The sequence below is a fragment of the Homo sapiens genome, chromosome 17, assembly GCF_000001405.40.
Source record: "Homo sapiens chromosome 17, GRCh38.p14 Primary Assembly".
NCBI lineage: Eukaryota > Metazoa > Chordata > Mammalia > Primates > Hominidae > Homo > Homo sapiens.
Window position 1 is genome coordinate 18,376,693 of NC_000017.11, and position 17,470 is coordinate 18,394,162.

The following is a 17,470-nucleotide window of genomic DNA, read 5'->3' on the forward strand; positions in this document are numbered from 1 at the left end:
AAGACGCTGAGGGTCACCACAGAAGGAAAAGGCAGCAGCCCTGGTCCCCAGTGTGAGGAAAAGACCAATAAGCTGGCATCACTCTCTGCCACTCAATCTGACTTCATAAAAGCCACCAGGGGCCATTTCTGGGTGGGGGAAGAGGCAGGTAGGAAAAGCCAAGTGCATCGGGCTCCCGGGCCTCAGCCAGAGCCCAGGCTTAGTGGCACCTGAAGCCAGCCCTGGTGCTGCTGCACTGTGCACACTTTATAAAATGGGGCCGGGCATGGTGGCTCATGCCTGTAATCCCAGCACTTTGGGAGGCCAAGGCGGGTGGATCACTTGAGGTCAGGAGTTCCAGACCAGCCTGGCCAACATGGTGAATCCCCTTCTCTGCTAAAAATACAAAAATTTTCTGGGCGTGGTGACGGACACCTGTAATCCCAGCTACTTGGGAGGCTGAGGCAGGAGAATCGCTTGAACCCGGCAGGCAGAGGTTGCAGTGAGCCGAGATCGTGCCTTTGCACTCCAGCCTGGGTGACAGAGCAAGACTTTGTCTCTTAAAAAAAAAAAAAATGGACCTTGTGCCAGTTGTCTGGAGTGAACGTCCCCTGGCTGCCCCATCATGTCAGTGGAGAACACAGAGCCAGGCCCTGGGCTGGCAGGACACCCCCTCCTCTCCTGGGGGATTGAGAGCTGTGGGTGGGGGCCAGCCTGGCAGCAGGGCCTCTGAGCTGGCTGGAGATGTTTATTAATCCTGAGCTCCAGAGCTGGGGCCTCTCCGCTGAGCCTGCGCCTGCATGTGCACGTCTGTCTCCAGACCCATCTGTCCTGGCCCAGCTCCTTCCCTATCTGGGTGTAATCGCCACCGCGCTCCCCTGGGCATGTGGGTGTAACAAGTCCAAACCTTCTGTGGGAGTCGGGCAGGCTCGGCCCCACCCTCAAGGCTGTGCCCTTTCCTCCCAGACTGGTTATGCAAGAGCAGGCATGAGTGTGGTTTTTGTGGGTGCATGCGCGGCAGGCCTGGGGCCTGGCCGCCTGCTGCCTCACCTGCAAGGAGGGGCCTCCCAGAAACTCCCTTCCCCAATGCCCAGCCGCCCCACCTTGCCAGACTTAGCTGACCAGCCAGCAAGGACGCCCGCTGCCTCCCACCTGCCCTCCTGCCCTCCTTCACCAGCCAAGCCCAGCCTGAGCCAGCACCTGCCTTTATGACCATGTTCAAGGGACTGAGCAAAGGCTCCCAGGGGAAGGGGTCCCCCAAGGACTCCCCAGCCAAGGGGTCCCCCAAAGGCTCCCCCAGCAAGCACAGCTGGTGAGTGGGACTAGGGGATGGGGAGCCAGGGAGCTAGGGTGGGGGTGGTGCCAGGCCCAGGTCCTTGAGCCACCTGGCGGCGGCCCAGAGCCCAGGACCAGCCCCGTGCTGGCATTTGGTGTCCCGAGGACAAAGGGCCCAGGGGTGGACTCTCTCCCTGCCTTGGGAGCCGCAGGCCCAGGCCGAACTTCAGCCCTGGCAGGAGGCAGGGGATGGCCTGGGGCTCCCTACATCCTCTAAGGGGGCCTGTGGGCCACAGATTGATGCTGCTCAGCGGGAGAAGTGCCGGACAGGAGCCTGCACTGATGCCCTCCTCTGCCAGAGGCTGGGACACAGGAGAGCCTGGTTGTGTGACTGCAGCTCTGCCCCAAGGCTCTACTTGGCTGGGATGACCCCTGGAGCCTGGGTGCAGGGCATGAGGACTGAGGGGGTGGGGTGGGATCCCTGGGGTAGGGATGCAGGGGCTGTGCTGCCTCCTGCCTAAGCCAGAGCCCTCCCCAGAGCTCTCACCCAGGGCCTTGTTGTATTGAAGAGTTAGGGGTTCATGGCTGGGCGCGGTAGCTCACGCCTATAATCCCTGACTTTAGGAGGCCAATGCGGGAGGATTCCTTGAGCCCAGGAGTTTGAGACCAGCCTGGGCAACATAGGGAGATCTTGTTTCTATAAAAAAAATAAAAATAAAAAACAGCCAGGTATGGTGGCTCATGCCTATTGCTTGAGCCCAGGAGTTTGAGGCTTCAGTGAGCCATGATCACACCACTGCGCTCCTGCCTGGGTGACAGACTGTGACTCTGTCTTTAAAAAAAAAAAAAATCCTGGTGCAATACCTCATGCCTGCAATCCTACCACTTTGGGAGGCTGAGGCGGGTGGATGACTTGAGCCCAGGAGTTGGAGACCAGCCTGGGCAACATGACGAAATCCCATCTCTATAAAAAATATACAAAAATTATCTGGATGTAGTGGTGCATGCCTGTAGTCAGAGCTACTTGGGAGGCTGAGGTGAGAGGATCACTTGAGCCCGGGAAGTCGAGGCTGCAGTGAGCCGTGATCACTCAACTGCACTCTAGCCTGGGTGACAGAGCAAGACCCTGTCTGTTAAAACAAAACAGAATAGAGCTGGGGCTTCCTTTTCCAGTGGGTGTGGTGCAGGGGGCACTGGGCCTCCCTTGGACCACCCGGTTCTCTGGGGCCCAGCCTCAGCTCTCTGTGGATGGATTGGGTGGCGCTCTTCCCACTCACTGGCTTCAGCTCATCTGCAGAGGAGGCAGCAGCCCGCCTGGGTCCAGGGTGTCGAGATAAGCTCAGGGATGAAAAGCTGGTGTGGGAGTGGGGGTGCCCATTACCCCGATAGGGATCAAGGCACCAACAGACACCGAGTCTGGGCGTCTGGGCCGACGGGAAAGACAGTGGTTAAGACTCTCAGCTAACACTCTCACTGAGTGACCTGTCCTCCCTGGGGCACCTGAGCCCCACCCAGGGTGGAGTGTGCAGCTCCTGGTGGGAGCAGCCATCCCAGGAGGCGGGACCTGAGCAGGAGTGCCCAGGGCCCAGCACCTGCAGCTCCCACTGTCCAGGCAGGCTCCCCAGCAGTGTGCTCCTGGCCTGGGGCAGCTCAGTCCTCAGGGCCCTGTTGGCTCTGGATCACCTCACGTGCGATCCACTCGTTTGACATGAACTTACTGAGCACTTACTGCATGCCAGGACTGTTCTAGGCACTGGAGATGTCGCTGTAGACAGAACCAACAGGCCCCTGCCTTCAAGGCACTAGCCCTCTAGTGGGATAAAAACTAACACGTGCTGGGTGCCGACTCTGCACCAGGCCTGCACTGGATGTTTCAGACAGATAAATTCAATTAATGCTCACAATAGCCCTAAGGCATAGATATTTTTATTAAAATCCTGCTTTACGAGTGAGGAACCTCAGGCACAGAGAGGTTGAGTAACTTGCCCAAGGTCACACAGCATTAATGATGGAGAAAGATGAAACCAGGCTGTCTTGGCCACAGAGTTCTTCCAGACTGCTGTGCCTTCACCAGCACTGTCCCGTTGCCTGGGGGGGCCCATCCTTTGACCCAGTTCAAGGCTTCCCCTGCCCCAGGATAATGATCCCCCATAAGGCACTGTGCTCATAAGGCTTGGACCAATCTGCCCTCTTTTAGGTCTGCTTGGCCTTGTGACCTCCACAGAGTGACTGCATGCACACAGCAGGTGCTCTATGGAGGCTGCAGGGCGAATGCACAGAAAAAGCCCTGGGGTGGAAGCAAGGTTTCCCCTCCGTCCCTGACCACGTAACTCAGAGCAAGTTAGGGCACAATCTGGGCTTTGAACCCTCAACTCTGGAGAATGTTAGGGTGCCCAGCAGTCTCTTGCGCCTGCCCCCGCTCCCCGACTCTGACAGTGTGAGGCTCCTCTAGACGGCTGCTGAAGCCAGCACTCTGGCAAAGCTCCCTGGGGTGGAGGAGGTATAGGGGAACACAGGGCTGGAGTGGGAGGAGGTGGGGGTGGGGGGCATGCTGCTGCCTCCCTGCCCCAGCCAGCCCAACTGCCCCTCCCAGGGCCCAGCCAGGCTGGCTCAGGTACTACCGGCTCACAGGGGGGAAGTGGCAGGCAGCTGGGTGGGGTCGGGAACTCACTGCCAGCACAGCTGGCTGAGGCTGGGACACCGAGGCCGCCTGACACCCAGCACCACACAGACCTGAGACCCTCACCTTTTGACCCCTCATGTGGCGGGGCAGTGCTAACACCCCCAACCAGGTCTAGCTCACAGAGCCTCCTGCAGAGAGAGACCCCAAAGTCAGGGCAGTGTGCTAGGCTGTGGGGGCGGGATGGGGTGGAGAGAGGGCAGGGGACGCCACCTGGATGGGGCACAGAGGGGCCTCTTCCACCGAGCTGCCCACTGTCCCCTCCACCCACCAAGAATGCCACCCAGGAGCTGACCCTGCTCATCTCCCACATGCAAGCCAGCGCCGACCAGGTGGAGCGGGACATCCTGGAGACGCAGAAGAGGCTGCAGCAGGTGAGAACCCGGCAGCAGTTGGCAGGGTGTGGGCAGGCTGGGTGGCATGGGAGGCCCATCATCAGGCCTGGCACTCCCTGAGTGCCCCCTGGTGATGGTGAAGATGGGACAGATGACATTTGTCCTGCACCGCCTGTCCCCTAACACACGGTGGGAGAGAGGGCTCAACTTCCTTCTTTGCTGGGCTCCCCTGTGTCTTTGTCACCTGCCTCATGGACGCCCTGGGCCTGACCCTGTGCCTGGCGTGGGCCTCGAGGTTGGCCAGCATAGCTGGGGTCCCAAAGGTGGGGCTCAGGCCCACAATGATGGGCAGCAGGGGTGTGGGGGCTCTGGACCCTGGCAAGTCTGCCCATCCCCTGCCCACAGGACCGGCTGAACAGTGAGCAGAGCCAGGCCCTGCAGCACCAGCAGGAGACGGGCAGCAGCCTGAAGGAGGCCGAGGTGCTGCTCAAGGACCTCTTCCTGGACGTGGACAAGGCCCGGCGGCTCAAGCACCCGCAGGCTGAGGAGACTGAGAAGGAGTGAGTGGGGCTGCGGCAGGGCTGGGGGTCCCTGGGGAAGACCCAGGCCCAGCCCTGACCTGCTGGCCACCTTCTTGACAGCATCGAGCAGCTGCACGAGCGGGTGACCCAGGAGTGTGCGGAGTACTGTGCCCTGTACGAGAAGATGGTGCTGCCGCCCCGACGTGGGATCCAAGGTCGACTGGGCACACGTGCTGGAGCAGAAACAGGTCAGGAGCTCAAAGTCACACCCCAGTGTGATCAGAGGGTGATACGGAACTGCATTTAACCCAGGGCCTGACTGTAGGCTTGAACAGTCAGTGTATAGTGGTGTCTCAGGGGTCTGGGCAGGGAGACAGCAGAGGAGACAGTGCAGTCAGGGAAGACTTCCTGTAGGAGGAGGCACATGAAGAGACCTCAGAGGGGTGAGAGGGCTCGGTTGGGTCAGGGTGAAGTAGTGAGGAGAGGACAATTCCAGAAAGAAGGAGCAAAGGCACCTGCCAGGAGGAAGCCTAGGATTCGATGGGAAGTGGGGATTTCTGGCCAGGTGGGCAGAGCCAGGACATGGGGCATTCTGATCCCTGGTTGAGGAGTTGTGCTTTGATGCCACACAGAAGGGGTGTCATCATGACAATAGAGGAACAGTGGGGAAGGGCCCGGGTGCAGCAGGGCGTTCTGAGGGCCCTAGAGCTTGGCTGGAGGTGTCCAGGCAGGAAGCACTGAGGCTGGGTCACAGACAAGGCAGGATGGAGCTGGAGACTTCTGAGGCTGAGCCCAGCGTCTGGGAACCAGTGGGACTCAGGGGCCACTGCAGAATGGCCTCTGCAGTGGCCACCCTGCAGAGCAGAATGGCTCACCCTGGGTGAGCTGCAGGGCGTGCACCCGGGCTGCTCTCAGGCTCGTCCACGCTCTGCCCAAATGACCAAGTCCACTTCTCCGGGTGGGAGACGTGTGGGGTTCTCTGGCTCTCCACCCTGGTCCTGTGGTGACTGAGCCGCCGGCTCTCCTGCAGAAGCTGGTCTGCGCAGGCCAGTATGGGCCGGGCATGGCGGAGCTGGAGGAACAGATCGCGGAGCTCAACATCGTGCAGAAGGAGATCAACGACCAAGGAGAGCAGCTGCGGAGCCTGGTGGGGCCGGTGGGTGAGCCGGGAAGATGTTACATCCGGGGCCAGCCCCAGCCCCTGTTTTTCCAGTCAGAGCCGGAGCTAGATCGGCTGGGCCCTGGGGATAGGGGTGGGTGGGGTATGGCTTGCCCAGATCTTAGGGGGCCGTCTCCCTGTGCCCCACCTCTCACGGGCTTGTTTCTCCCCTTGGTCAAGGCAGGATGCCGCCACCATCCGGAGCCAATACCGAGACCTACTGGTGAGCAGGAGGGAGGGTCGGGCAGGGTGGCTGCAGGTGGGCCTGGGTGGCCGCCCGGACCCTGCCCGGGGCCAGTGTTCCTGAGCGCCGCCCAATGGCGCCTTTTGCCCCCCACTTTCTCTCTCCCCACCCTGCTGCTGGCGGCGGGTCCTGAGCACAGAGGGCGGCGTCGTGGCGCGGGCAGAGCCTGGGCAGCCTGTACACGCACTGCAGGGCTGCACGTGGCAGCTGAGCGCCCTGGCGGAGCAGCAGCGCCGCATCCTGCAGCAGGACTGGAGCGACCTCATGGCCGACCCTGCGGGCGTGCGGCGGGAATACGAGGTCGGCTGGCAGAGGTTGGGGCCAGGCGGGGGCGACCAGGGCCATCCTGGTCCTCACCGCCGCTCCCCACCCGACTCGCCCCCAGCACTTCAAGCAGCACGAGCTGCTGAGCCAGGAGCAGAGCGTAAACCAGCTGGAGGAGGACGGCAAGCGCATGGTGGAGCTGCGGCACCCCGCGGTGGGGCCCATCCAGGTGCGCTGGGGGCAGGGCGAGAGTGAGAAGGGACGTGGTGGGCGGGGAAGGGGGGGGTGGACGTGGGTGCGGGGGCGGGGCGTGGTCCGAGGGCTCCGTGCTGCGGTACCCAGGCCCACCAGGAGGCCCTGAAGATGGAGTGGCAGAACTTCCTGAACCTGTGCATCTGCCAGGAGACCCAGCTCCAGCACGTGGAGGACTACAGCCGGGTGAGCCCTCGGGCAGCGGCAGGGCGGCAGGGCGGCAGGGCGGGAGGTCCCACAGCACACCGGCCCACAGGAGAGGCACTGCACCTCTCAACTAGACAGAGCTGGCAAGTCGCGGTGGCTCACACCTGTAATCCCAGCACTTTGGGAGGCTGAGGCTGGCCGATCACTTGAGGTCAGGAGTTCGAGATCAGCCTGGCCAACATGGTGAAACCCTGTCTCTACTAAAAATACCAAAATTAGCTAGAGGTGGTGGCACGCGCCTGTAATCCCAGCTACTCAGGAGGCTGAGGCAGGAGAATCGCTTGAACCCAGGAGGCGGAGGTTGCAGTGGGCCGAGAATGGTCCACTGCATTCTAGCCTGGGTGACAAAGAGGGACTCCACCTAAAAAATAAAATAAAATAGAGCTGTGTGGTTGCCACTCGGTCCCAGAGGGAAGGAAAGGCATGGGCACATTCTCAACAGGGTGAAGCCGTTCCCAGGGGGGTGAAAATTCGTTCTTAATGGCAGAAAAGTAACTGTTTTTATGCATGAAGTACAGATCCACATACAGCACCTAAGCTGTATACAGCATATCTGTGGTATAAATATTTCATGGGGGCCAGGTGTGGTGGCTCACACCTGTAATTCCAGCACTTTGGGAGGCCGAGCCAGGAGAATTGCTTGACCCCAGTAGTTCCAGACCAGCCTGGGCAACATAGGGAGATCTTGTTTCTATAAAAAATAAAAATAAAAACTAGCCAGGCATGGTGGCTCGTGCCTATTGCTTGAGCCCAGGAGTTTGAGGCTGCAGTGAGCCATGATCACACCACTGCACTCCCGCCTGGGTGACAGACTGTGACTCTGTCTTAAAAAAAAAAAAATCCTGGTGCAATACCTCATGCCTGCAATCCTACCACTTTGGGAGGCCGAGGCGGGTGGATCACTTGAGCCCAGGAGTTGGAGACCAGCCTGGGCAACATGACGAAATCCTGTCTCTACAAAAAATATACAAAAATTATCTGGATGTAGTGGTGCATGCCTGTAGTCAGAGCTACTTGGGAGGCTGAGGTGAGAGGATCACTTGAGCCCGGGAAGTCGAGGCTGCAGTGAGCTGTGATCACTCCACTGCACTCTAGCCTGGGTGACAGAGCAAGACCCTGTCTGTTAAAACAAAACAGAATAGAGCTGGGGCTTCCTTTTCCAGTGGGTGTGGTGCAGGGGGCACTGGGCCTCCCTTGGACCACCCGGTTCTCTGGGGCCCAGCCTCAGCTCTCTGTGGATGGATTGGGTGGTGCTCCTCCCACTCACTGGCTTCAGCTCGTCTGCAGAGGAGGCAGCAGCGAAAGATGGGTAGAAAGAGATGGGGGAGAGACAGAGGAGGCTGAGAGGGAGAGGAGGATGGAGAGAGCAGAGAGAGAGAAACAGAGATGGGGAAAGGGGCAAGAGATGACAAGAGAGACAGAGAAGCCAGAGAGGCAGAGGGGGAGAAAGGGAGAGAGGGAGAGAGAGACAGAGCAGGAGGTCGGGGCACTCTGGGTCCCAGTTTCCGGTGCAGTTGTAGGTCACCATCACCTAACTGCAGGTGCAATAAAGCCCTCGTGCCTGCTGCTCGCAGCCCCTGAGAGTCCTTCCTCCTGGAGAATAAAACCTTTGAGGGCTGCCCTTCCTCACTGGATTTTGGTTGTTTCTAATGAACTGAGTCATCCTGTCTATCACCTTCCTGGGCTCATGGCTCCACTGAACGCTGCCCCCTCGGTTCGGGAGGACCAGTGGTGCCCCCATCTCACCAGGCTCCCAAGGAAGCTTGTGACCTTGGCTTGGGCCCAAAGTAGCCGGGTACCCACTGGGGCTCTGCTTCTCCCTTCACTAAGAGAAGAAAGAGACCAAAGAATGGTCTGCACAGAGGGCACCTGTGCAAACACCCAGGGAACCAGGGAGTTGAGCCGTCTTCATTTCCTAACAGATACATTCCCTTCTGTGCCTCCTTAATGAGGGCATGAAGCACAGTATGCGTGTGTCCAGCTGTGTGCAAAGGCATGTGTGTGTGCATGTGTGTTGTGGGAGCATGCAGTAGGCAGCAAGGAAAGGGCAGCTCCTGCTCAAAGCTGCAAGTCTCTCTGAAGGAAAGATCAAGATTCCCTGGACCACAGCAGGACAGTGTTTTCATTTGCATCCATTTTTATTAGCATTTAAACCTGTATCTTGAGTAGCATATAAACTTTAAGTTGGTTAACTGTTCTTACAAGCATTTACACAGTAAGATAAACATATGATAATATACACTGAAATTATGCACCCTGCACCCCGCCGTCCCCACCCTGGCCAGAACTATCTTGCAAACCTACACCCAGCAAAAGATCCCATAGTGCACTTTGGGAGGTATAGACAGGAAGCCTGAGTCTCCATCGCTCATTCCATCTTTTCACCAGCTGTGGGCTACCAGGCTGCATTGGTTTGCTAGGGCTTCCTTAAAGTACCACAGACTGGGCAGCTTCAGCAACAGAATCTCACTGTCTCACAGTCCTGGAGGCTGTAGGTCCAAGATCAAGGTGTCGGCAGGGAAAGTCCCTTTCCAGGGCGGTGCGGGAAGGCTCTGTTCCAGGTCTCTCTCCTGGCGTGTAGGTGGCCTTCCCGGTGTCTCTTCACCTGGTCTTCCCTCTATGCATGTCTCTGTGTCCAAATTTGCCCTTTTATAAGGACATCAGTCATATTGAATTGGGCACCCCCTACTGATCTCATTTTTCATTTTAACTTATTTCCATAAGACGCTGTCTCCAAATAAGATCACATTCTCAGGCACTGGGGCTAAGGACATCAACATAGGAATTTCAGGGGACAAATTCAACCCACCACATAGGCCCTCCCTGAGGCCACCTCTGCGTCATCTTTGTCTACAGGCAAGTTGGCATCTAAAAAGTGTCTGCCCAAGACATGCGTCTGGCCCATGGTACAGCCAGTCCACACGGCCAATGGTGAAATCCGGGTGGCATTGTTTCCTCACCGCCATGCCTCATGCAAGCAGCTGCCTTCTTATAACGGTGGACACAAATCCCAGCACTGGTGCAGTTGCTTGCCGGCTGTGGGTGAAGTAGCCCCATGTCAGTGTGCTGCAAAGATGCAGCTTAGAATGTTACGGCTTGTGTGAAAGATACGCAGATTTCTATTCCTTCCAATCTGTGGTTTCAAGTTCTGCTTGAACCCAAGGGGCTCTATAGGGTGCTTCTGGAACAGCCGGGGTGTTAGGGGTGCTGAAAAGGTGTTAGGGTGCCTAGGCTCAACCCCAGCTTCAATCACACAAATAATCTTGTTGACATGATTTTTGGTTAATTTTTTTTTTTTTTTTTTGAGACAGAGTCTTGCTCTGTCGCCCAGGCTGGAGTGCAGTGGCCTGATCTCTGCTCACTGCAAGCTCCACCTCCTGGGTTCATGCCATTCTCCTGCCTCAGCCTCCCAAGTAGCTGGGACTACAGGTGCCCGCCACCACGCATGGCTAATTTTTTTTTTTGTATTTTTAGTAGAGACGGGCTTTCACCATGTTAGCCAGGATGGTCTCAATCTCCTGACCTCATGATCTGCCCGCCTCGGCCTCCCAAAGTGCTGGGATTACAGGTGTGAGCCACCGCGCCTGGCCTGGTCAGTTTTTTAATTGATCTTTTGTATAATTTTTTTGTTTAAGAAAGGGATCCTTTGGCAGAAAGAAAATCTGAAACTCTAAATACTGTCCATTTTATCCATATATTGGTCATACCCCCAAAATATATCCTGATTCCAGCCATTTGTCATGACCGCTTTAATCTGAGCTCCCTTCATTTTTCACCTGGATTACTGTACCAGCCTCCCCAATGGCCTCCCTGGTGCCACCTGGCCCCTCCCCAGGGCTCAGCAAGATTTTTCTGCAAAGGACCTGGTAGTAAGCATCTTGGGCTTCGTGGACCCTGTGGTCTTTGTTGCACCTACTCAGCAGTTACTCAGCTTTCCACTGCAGCCCCAAAGCAGCCCCAGACAAGAAGTGAACACAGGGGAGGAACTGTGGCTCCAATAAACCTTTATTCACAGTAGGAGGGGGGCTTCATCTGGATTGTGGGCCATAGTTTGCCCACCCCTGCCTGACCTCATGACAACACTGACCTTCGTATTTATGCCTCTTAAAAACATGTGTAAGCCGAGTGCAGTGGCTCATGCCTGTAATCCCAACACTCTGAGAGGCCGAGGCTGGAGGATTGCCTGGGGGCAGGAGGTCCAGACCAGCCTGGATAACACGGCGAGATCCTGTCTCTACAAGAAACCATTTCAAAAGCAGCCAGGCATGGGGGCCCACACATGTAGTCCCAGCTATTCAGGAGGCTGAGGTGGGGAGGATTGCTTGAGCCTGGGAAGTCAAGGCTGTAGTGAGCTGTTTTGGGCCACTGCACTTCAGCCTGGGTGATGGAGCAAGACCCTGTCTCTCTCTCTCTCTCTCCATATATATATATATACATATATATGTATATATATATAAAATTTATTTATAGTGTGTGTAATGGTTGTCTACAAGGCACACCTTTAATTAATCACAGCCAACCCTCAAATAATACCCATAGTGTAGGACCCTTACAACGTTACACTCCCAACTCTTCTCCCCACCCATCTTTTGTTTTCTTTCTTTCCACAGATTCTGTGTCCATCTTCCTCTCCTCATTGACTCTGCATGAAGGGGATTTCTGGTGGAGTAAGGGTAGCAGGTGAGAAATGAAGTACCAAGAAACTAGCAAAGGGTCTTCTGGTTGTCTGGGGACAGTCCTCCTGTCATCCCCAGCCTAGTCTCAAGGGTTCTGGGCCGGTCACCCTGCTGCCTCTGTGCTGTGTCTCTGGATCTGGCCTCCATGGGAAGGACCCTGGGAGACCCAGCAGAGTGGGGTACCTGGGTTGACAAACAGCTTCCTGTTCCTCTGGCTATGTGGCTCAGGAATAGGCCCAGACAGTGCATCCAGATGTGTGAGGCCACATCACTGCCCCCTTTGAGATGGCCCAGAGGACCTTGTGGCACAAGCGTGAAGCTCAGCACCCGGAGCCTGGGACAAACTGCCCCTCCCTGTGTCCTGGAGTTGGGGTCCGGTCCCGAGAAGACTCTCAGTCACCTGTGGGTGCTGATGAGGGGAGGGAGAGGTCTGTGGACTGAGAAGGGCCATTGGTAGGGGACTCTGAACACCACCGCTCAGGGGTCTGGTCAGTGGGGGTCTGGTCAGCAGAGATTGAACTCTGGGGCTCAGACACAGAAAACCTGCTCAGTGACCCTTTCTCCTTTTTCAGCTCTTGCCGCACGTGCAGAGAGAGAGGAACTTCCAGTGCCCGCTATGGAGCCACAGCCCACAGCATGGGGAAGTCCCCATCCAGAGGCAGTGCTGCAGCTAGAGGTAGCTCCAGAGTCCTCCGGGCCCTGCACCGATACAGCCAAAGACCAGCAAAGCGACAAGCTGCCAGACCTCATGCCACCTGCTGTAGCCACTGGGCTCAGCCCTGGAGCTGAGAGCATCGCTGGAGATAGACGTGGCAGAGAAGAGGTTGCGAGCATGGCCCCAGCCAGCAGCTCCCACGCTGCCCCTAGTCCTGGGCATGGAGCGAGCCTTGGTGTCAGAGACCAGGGTGTGCAGTCTGAGCTCCTCTACCTTACTAAAGAGAGGCCTCTTTTATTTACCAGAGCCACAGCCCTGCTGCCTCAGGACCTTTTCATTCTGCCGGTGCTGGGGCTGTCTATCTGCAAGCTGGAGGTGTTGAGAGCAGGAAAAGGAGGCTGTGAGGAAGGGTTCGGGCAGCTCCTCCTGCTCTCAGAGGTGGCCTCCTCCTCCAGGCATGGAGGTCTGTCCACTACTGGGCTTCTGGGCTATTTGCCCCTGATTTGCTCCCTGGTACGGGCTCTTCTTAACAGGCAGGCAAGGGGTGCGGGGACCAGGTGAGGGCTTCAAAGGGTACAGTACCAAATCTTCCAAACTCAGCACTTGTGCCCTGGGGTCTCCAAACTGTCTTCTGCCCTAGAATTTATTCATACTGTTAAATTACCAGTTTATGCAAATGATATGTAAATAAAGCTCAATTTTTTGAAACTTCATGCCTTTTTGAACTCTCTAATGTTAGATGGTGTTTTTGAGGCTATCTGAAAATCTCTGATAGTTGTGTCTTTTGTTGTGGTTGTTTGTGTGATTGAGTTACCACCACCAAATCAACTGTTATTGGAAACATTTCAGGTATGGCTTTTAGAAGACCTGGACCTACTCTTGCCTGTTTTGACCCTCCAGTTTATTGTGGAAGGAAGTATCATGTGGTTTCATGTCTCCGGCAGATCAATCACTTTCCTCCATCCATAGCAGGGAGGAGTCATGGCACCCCAGAGGGATGAAATACTTCTCCCCAAGTATTTCTTATTCTGTCTCTTCCTCTCTCTCATTCCCTGCTCCACATCTCTTTCTGTCTCCTTTTCCAGTTCTCTCTCCCTCCTCATCTCACTGCATGCCACTGTTCAGGCTCCTGGGGCTCCACGTGGATGGGCGGACACGGGACTCCTAGGCTAAGTTTCACGGCACAAGCACAGGGCTGCAGGACCTAGGTCCCCCACCTCCCAGCACCCTCAAAATGAGAGGTGTGGGGTGTGCCCGTGTTCTCCTGGGTGGGCGCCCCACGCTCCAGGAAGCAGAAACTGCAGGACAAAGCTGACACAAGTGACATGCCCACGTGGCTGCCAGCTTCCCTCTTGGGATCTGCTGAGGCCAAAGCAGAGGACACCTGCCCACAACCGACCCCGCACCAGGGTGGGGGGAGGGGTGGGTTTGGGGGTGGGAATGGGGATGGGAACAGCCACTGCAAAGCAGTCCCTGGCTGGCTTCCTGCCCTGCACCCTGTCATGCAAGGCCTCTCCTCCCGCCCCACCCCTGCCCCTCACCACCTCCACCCCTAGGCTGTCCAAATCCAGGCTCCAGAAGTCTCCCAGGATCCAAGAACTAAGGGCAACCACTGGGCTCCGCAGCCCCTAGTCCATGAGTCAGCCACCCCTCTGCATGCTGACAAACCTTGGCTATCACTTATCCTCCACCCCAAACCAGCCCCAGCCTCATCCTACTGCAGGCCTGTGTGGCTGCTGGAGAAGCCGGGCTCCTTTCCTCACTCCAAGGCTGCCTGATATACTTTCTGGATCCTGGAGAAAACTGACCCACTATTCTCATACTGGTGCAGCTTCTTCCAAGACCTCAAAATTGGACAACGTGAACTTGTCTTGTTTCTTGTCTCTTCTTGCTAGGACTGTCATGGGGACAGTCTGAGATGGGGGGTGGGGGGAGAAAATGGATGAATGGATGGATGAATGGACATCCCCCCACCAGCATTACCACCTCCTCCTAAACATAGTCCTGAGAGCTCTATTTCCTGGTAAACTTCCTCCTTCCCACCCTGGTCCAGGGAAGCCCAAAGGCCAGCGCCCTCCACCCACCCTTCCTGGGGTCCACTCTACTGTCTGCTTGCCCAGATGTCTTAACCCAGCTTTACCAAGCTAGGACAGATAGCAGGGATGAGCCCCCAGCCTCTGCCAGGAAGATTTGCCAAAATGTTCTCAGTTTAGAAGCAGGGGCAGTGACGGGGCCTAGGGATGACTCCAGGGTTGTCACTCAAGTAGCAAGAAGGGCAAGGAGGCCTGTTTCCTGCCCTTACCCTGGGAGAACTTGGCCGGGGCTCCACAAGGCCCTGCAGGGGCAGCAGGAGAGCAAATCCACGCTCCTTTTGAGGAAGTCACCACCATCCCTAGGAAGCAGCAGATGGGGGTGCACTGGCAGAGCCCTCGCGTGCTATAGGGCGAGGCCAGCAGATCTGTACTCAGCCTCAGCCCCAGGGGAGCTGCAAGATAGACTGAGACCCTCACAGGTTTGGCTCTGTGTCCCCACCCAAATCTCATCTGGAATTGTAATTCTCCTGTGTCAAGGGAGGAACCTGGTAGGAGGGGATTGGATTTGGGGACAGTTTCCCCCGTGCTGCTCCCCGGATAGTGAGGTAGTTCTCAGGAGAGCTGATGGTTTCAAAATGTGGCACTTACTGGTTCTCCACTCACTCCCTCCTGCCATCTTGTGAAGAAGGTGCCTGCTTCCCTTTCACCTTCTGCCGTGATTGCAAGTTTCCTGAAGTGCAAGTCAATAAAGCCTGTTTCCTTTATAAATTACCCAATCTCAGGTATTTCTTTATAGCAGTGTGAAAACAAACGAATACAGTCCCCTTCCCTGAGGTGCCTTCTCCTTAGGCAACCAGCTGCCCCCATGCTCCTCCTCTGCCCCCTGGTATTTCCTTTCCCCTCATGAGGCCCAAGTGATCCACATGGCCAGCCCCAACCCCATCCTACTGCAGGCCTGTGTGGCTGCTGGAGAGGCCGGGCTCCTTTCCTCACCCCAAGGCTGCCTGATATGCTTTCTGGATCCTAGAGAAAACTGATCCACTATTCTCATACTGGTGCAACTTCTTTCAAGACCTCAAAACTGGACAACATGAACTTGTCTTGTTTCTTATCTCTTCTTGCTATGGCTGTCATTGGGACAGTCCGAGATGCGGCAAGAGCTGAAAAAGGAGAGCTGCTCAGAGCTGAAAAAACCTGCTCAGTGACCCTTCTCTTTCGTCCTCATGGTGGCTTCGTAGAGTGGGTGCTGTTCCCAAATGTACCCATTCGACAGGTGAGACATCTGGGGTCAGAGAGGCGGTAACCGGCCTGGGAATCAGACATGACCCTGGATTCTGCTCTCAGCCCTGCTGTGTGCCGTGCTAGACTTCAGGCCTCAACCCTGAGACCTCCCTGCTCTAGATCCCAAATCTGCCCAGATTTCCGATCCCGATGGGGCAGAGCCTGGCCCTGGCAGAGACACTGGAATGGATCCACTGTGGGTGGGGAGGAGGGAAGGGTCCTCAGAACACACCTGGGGCCTAAGCTGGGTCCTGATGGTCACCGTGGGACCCACTGGACACACATAGTCCCTTGTCTGGGAGTGGCATGGGGAGGCTTCTGCCCTTGGGCAGTTGTGGAAAGTGAAGGAGCCCTGGAGGACTGGCTGAGGGGAGACTAACTTCCCTTGTGTTCAAAGGGGTCCGGGCACTGGGGTTCTCCCCAAGTATTTCTTATTCTGTCTGGCCTCGCTTTCCTTTTGCCCTGAGTATTATCAGGAGGGACGGTCCATCTAGATGTTCTCCAGGAGCAAGGACCCACTCTTCTACATCAGTGACACAGGAACATGAAGCCCCCTCCTGTAGGGACAGCTCAGAATGGTGGAGTCCACAGTCCGTCCCCGAGAGACATGGTTTCCATGAGCACAGTGGCTGCTTTGGAGACAGTAGATCATTTTCATCCCCAAAACCAAACACACTCCTGCTCAAATGGCGTTATTCTTAAAGCAGCTTCACTGGTTAGACTGAAGGGCCATGGTAGCCCAAGTGATGAGCGGGGTAGAACGGAGCAATCAGGAGAGATCTTGTTCCTCATAGGAAACTGGGCATCTCTGTGGCCCTGAGCATCCCAGGAGGCCGATCGTACAGAGACCTCTGGTGCCTGACCGCAGTTCACATCCACATCCCTGGAATAGCCCATCACAGGCTCTTCACCCTTGGCAGGTGGACACCATTCAACCTGCCAGGGCAGGTGTGTGCCCGTTTCATGGCATATGGGGACAACGGGATTCTCTGTCCAGGTCCCACTCTTCTCGAGTCCTTGGGAAGATGCCCACCCCTGCTTAGGGCTTCAGACTGCAGAGACCCATGGATGTGTGGGCCACGGGGTTTGGACCCTTTTTACCAGAGCGCAGTGGTGGAATGCAGGTTATACAACCAGCCAGCATCTGGGAGCCCAGCGGGAGCAGTTCAGGGGTTCTCTGAAGCTGTCGGGTACAGTGTAACCTTTAGACAACTTTGTCTCACAGGATGGACATGGTAGAGGGCGCGGATAGTGTGCAGGCATAGGAGCGGGAGGACATAATTATGAAGTATCAGAAGGTACAGTTCGGTCTGCTCCTTGGAGGGAGGCCTTTTCCTGTGCGCCCTGGTCAAAGGGTCCTGGGTTCCCTCCGAGCACAGGGCAGGGACAGGTGGCCAATACCCCCAGGCCCTTGCACCCTTTACCTTGGACCCCTCACCAAGGCTCCCTCTGGGTTACAGGGACACCGAGCTGGGCTGCCAGAGGACAAGGGGCCTGAACCTGTTGGAATCTACAGCAGCGTTGATCGCTTTGGGATTCTGCAGTGAGTCCTCTGTGCTCCCCTCACCCCTAAAGCAGCTGTCTCAGCTCAGGGATGGGTTTGCTTTTAGAAAGGCCTTTCTGACGCAGGACATGTCTCGCCAGGTCGGGCCAACCTCTTTTCCAGGGTCAGAACTCCTCCCTGGCTCCCCTGCAGGTCCAGCCCGAGATTGTTGTTAGGCCAGAGGTGCAAGGCCCATCTAGGGAGCCGGTGGGAATGGAGAGGGGGCTAGGCCAGGCCCCTGGGCTCTCAGCAGTTCTGTCGGCAAGTTAGCACAAGAGGAGCGGGGCAGCCTGAGGTTCTGGCCCTGTCTACCAGGAGACAACCCCAGTGAGATCCAAGGGTTGTGGCCACAGGGTGAGGAGACAC

General features: G+C 56.7%; 1 protein-coding gene across 8 annotated transcripts, besides 5 other annotated features; it reads left to right on the forward strand.

Annotated features, from left to right (window-relative positions):
- The first annotated feature begins 1,085 nt into the window (after positions 1 to 1,085).
- EVPLL (envoplakin like) lies at positions 1,086 to 12,955 on the forward strand. Of its 8 annotated transcripts, none has more exons than NM_001145127.2 (11): positions 1,086 to 1,291; positions 4,210 to 4,308; positions 4,675 to 4,829; positions 4,911 to 5,038; positions 5,821 to 5,946; positions 6,134 to 6,172; positions 6,333 to 6,493; positions 6,579 to 6,686; positions 6,800 to 6,895; positions 11,527 to 11,596; positions 12,165 to 12,955. In NM_001145127.2, exons 2-10 carry the CDS (start codon positions 4,246 to 4,248, stop codon positions 11,554 to 11,556), a joined length of 906 nt encoding a protein of 301 aa, NP_001138599.1. In that variant the 5' UTR covers positions 1,086 to 1,291; positions 4,210 to 4,245; the 3' UTR covers positions 11,557 to 11,596; positions 12,165 to 12,955. The 8 variants fall into 8 exon arrangements, with proteins under 8 accessions (NP_001138599.1, XP_011522284.1, XP_047292494.1 ...); XM_011523982.3 differs by having other exon boundaries at positions 5,821 to 5,937; XM_047436538.1 differs by having other exon boundaries at positions 4,253 to 4,308.
- Positions 3,387 to 3,888: an enhancer, noted in NCBI's record as "H3K4me1 hESC enhancer chr17:18283393-18283894 (GRCh37/hg19 assembly coordinates)". NCBI's record gives its function as "activates a minimal SCP1, AML or CMV promoter by ChIP-STARR-seq in primed H9 embryonic stem cells {active_cell/tissue: H9 hESC(primed)}" and the evidence as "EXISTENCE:reporter gene assay evidence [ECO:0000049][PMID:30033119]".
- Positions 5,832 to 6,403: an enhancer, noted in NCBI's record as "H3K27ac-H3K4me1 hESC enhancer chr17:18285838-18286409 (GRCh37/hg19 assembly coordinates)". NCBI's record gives its function as "activates a minimal SCP1, AML or CMV promoter by ChIP-STARR-seq in naive H9 embryonic stem cells {active_cell/tissue: H9 hESC(naive)}" and the evidence as "EXISTENCE:reporter gene assay evidence [ECO:0000049][PMID:30033119]".
- Positions 6,404 to 6,974: an enhancer, noted in NCBI's record as "H3K27ac-H3K4me1 hESC enhancer chr17:18286410-18286980 (GRCh37/hg19 assembly coordinates)". NCBI's record gives its function as "activates a minimal SCP1, AML or CMV promoter by ChIP-STARR-seq in naive H9 embryonic stem cells {active_cell/tissue: H9 hESC(naive)}" and the evidence as "EXISTENCE:reporter gene assay evidence [ECO:0000049][PMID:30033119]".
- Positions 6,486 to 6,595: a silencer, noted in NCBI's record as "silent region_8277". NCBI's record gives its function as "represses an Ori minimal core promoter by ATAC-STARR-seq in GM12878 lymphoblastoid cells {active_cell/tissue: GM12878}" and the evidence as "EXISTENCE:reporter gene assay evidence [ECO:0000049][PMID:35858748]".
- Positions 12,160 to 12,872: an enhancer, noted in NCBI's record as "H3K4me1 hESC enhancer chr17:18292166-18292878 (GRCh37/hg19 assembly coordinates)". NCBI's record gives its function as "activates a minimal SCP1, AML or CMV promoter by ChIP-STARR-seq in primed H9 embryonic stem cells {active_cell/tissue: H9 hESC(primed)}" and the evidence as "EXISTENCE:reporter gene assay evidence [ECO:0000049][PMID:30033119]".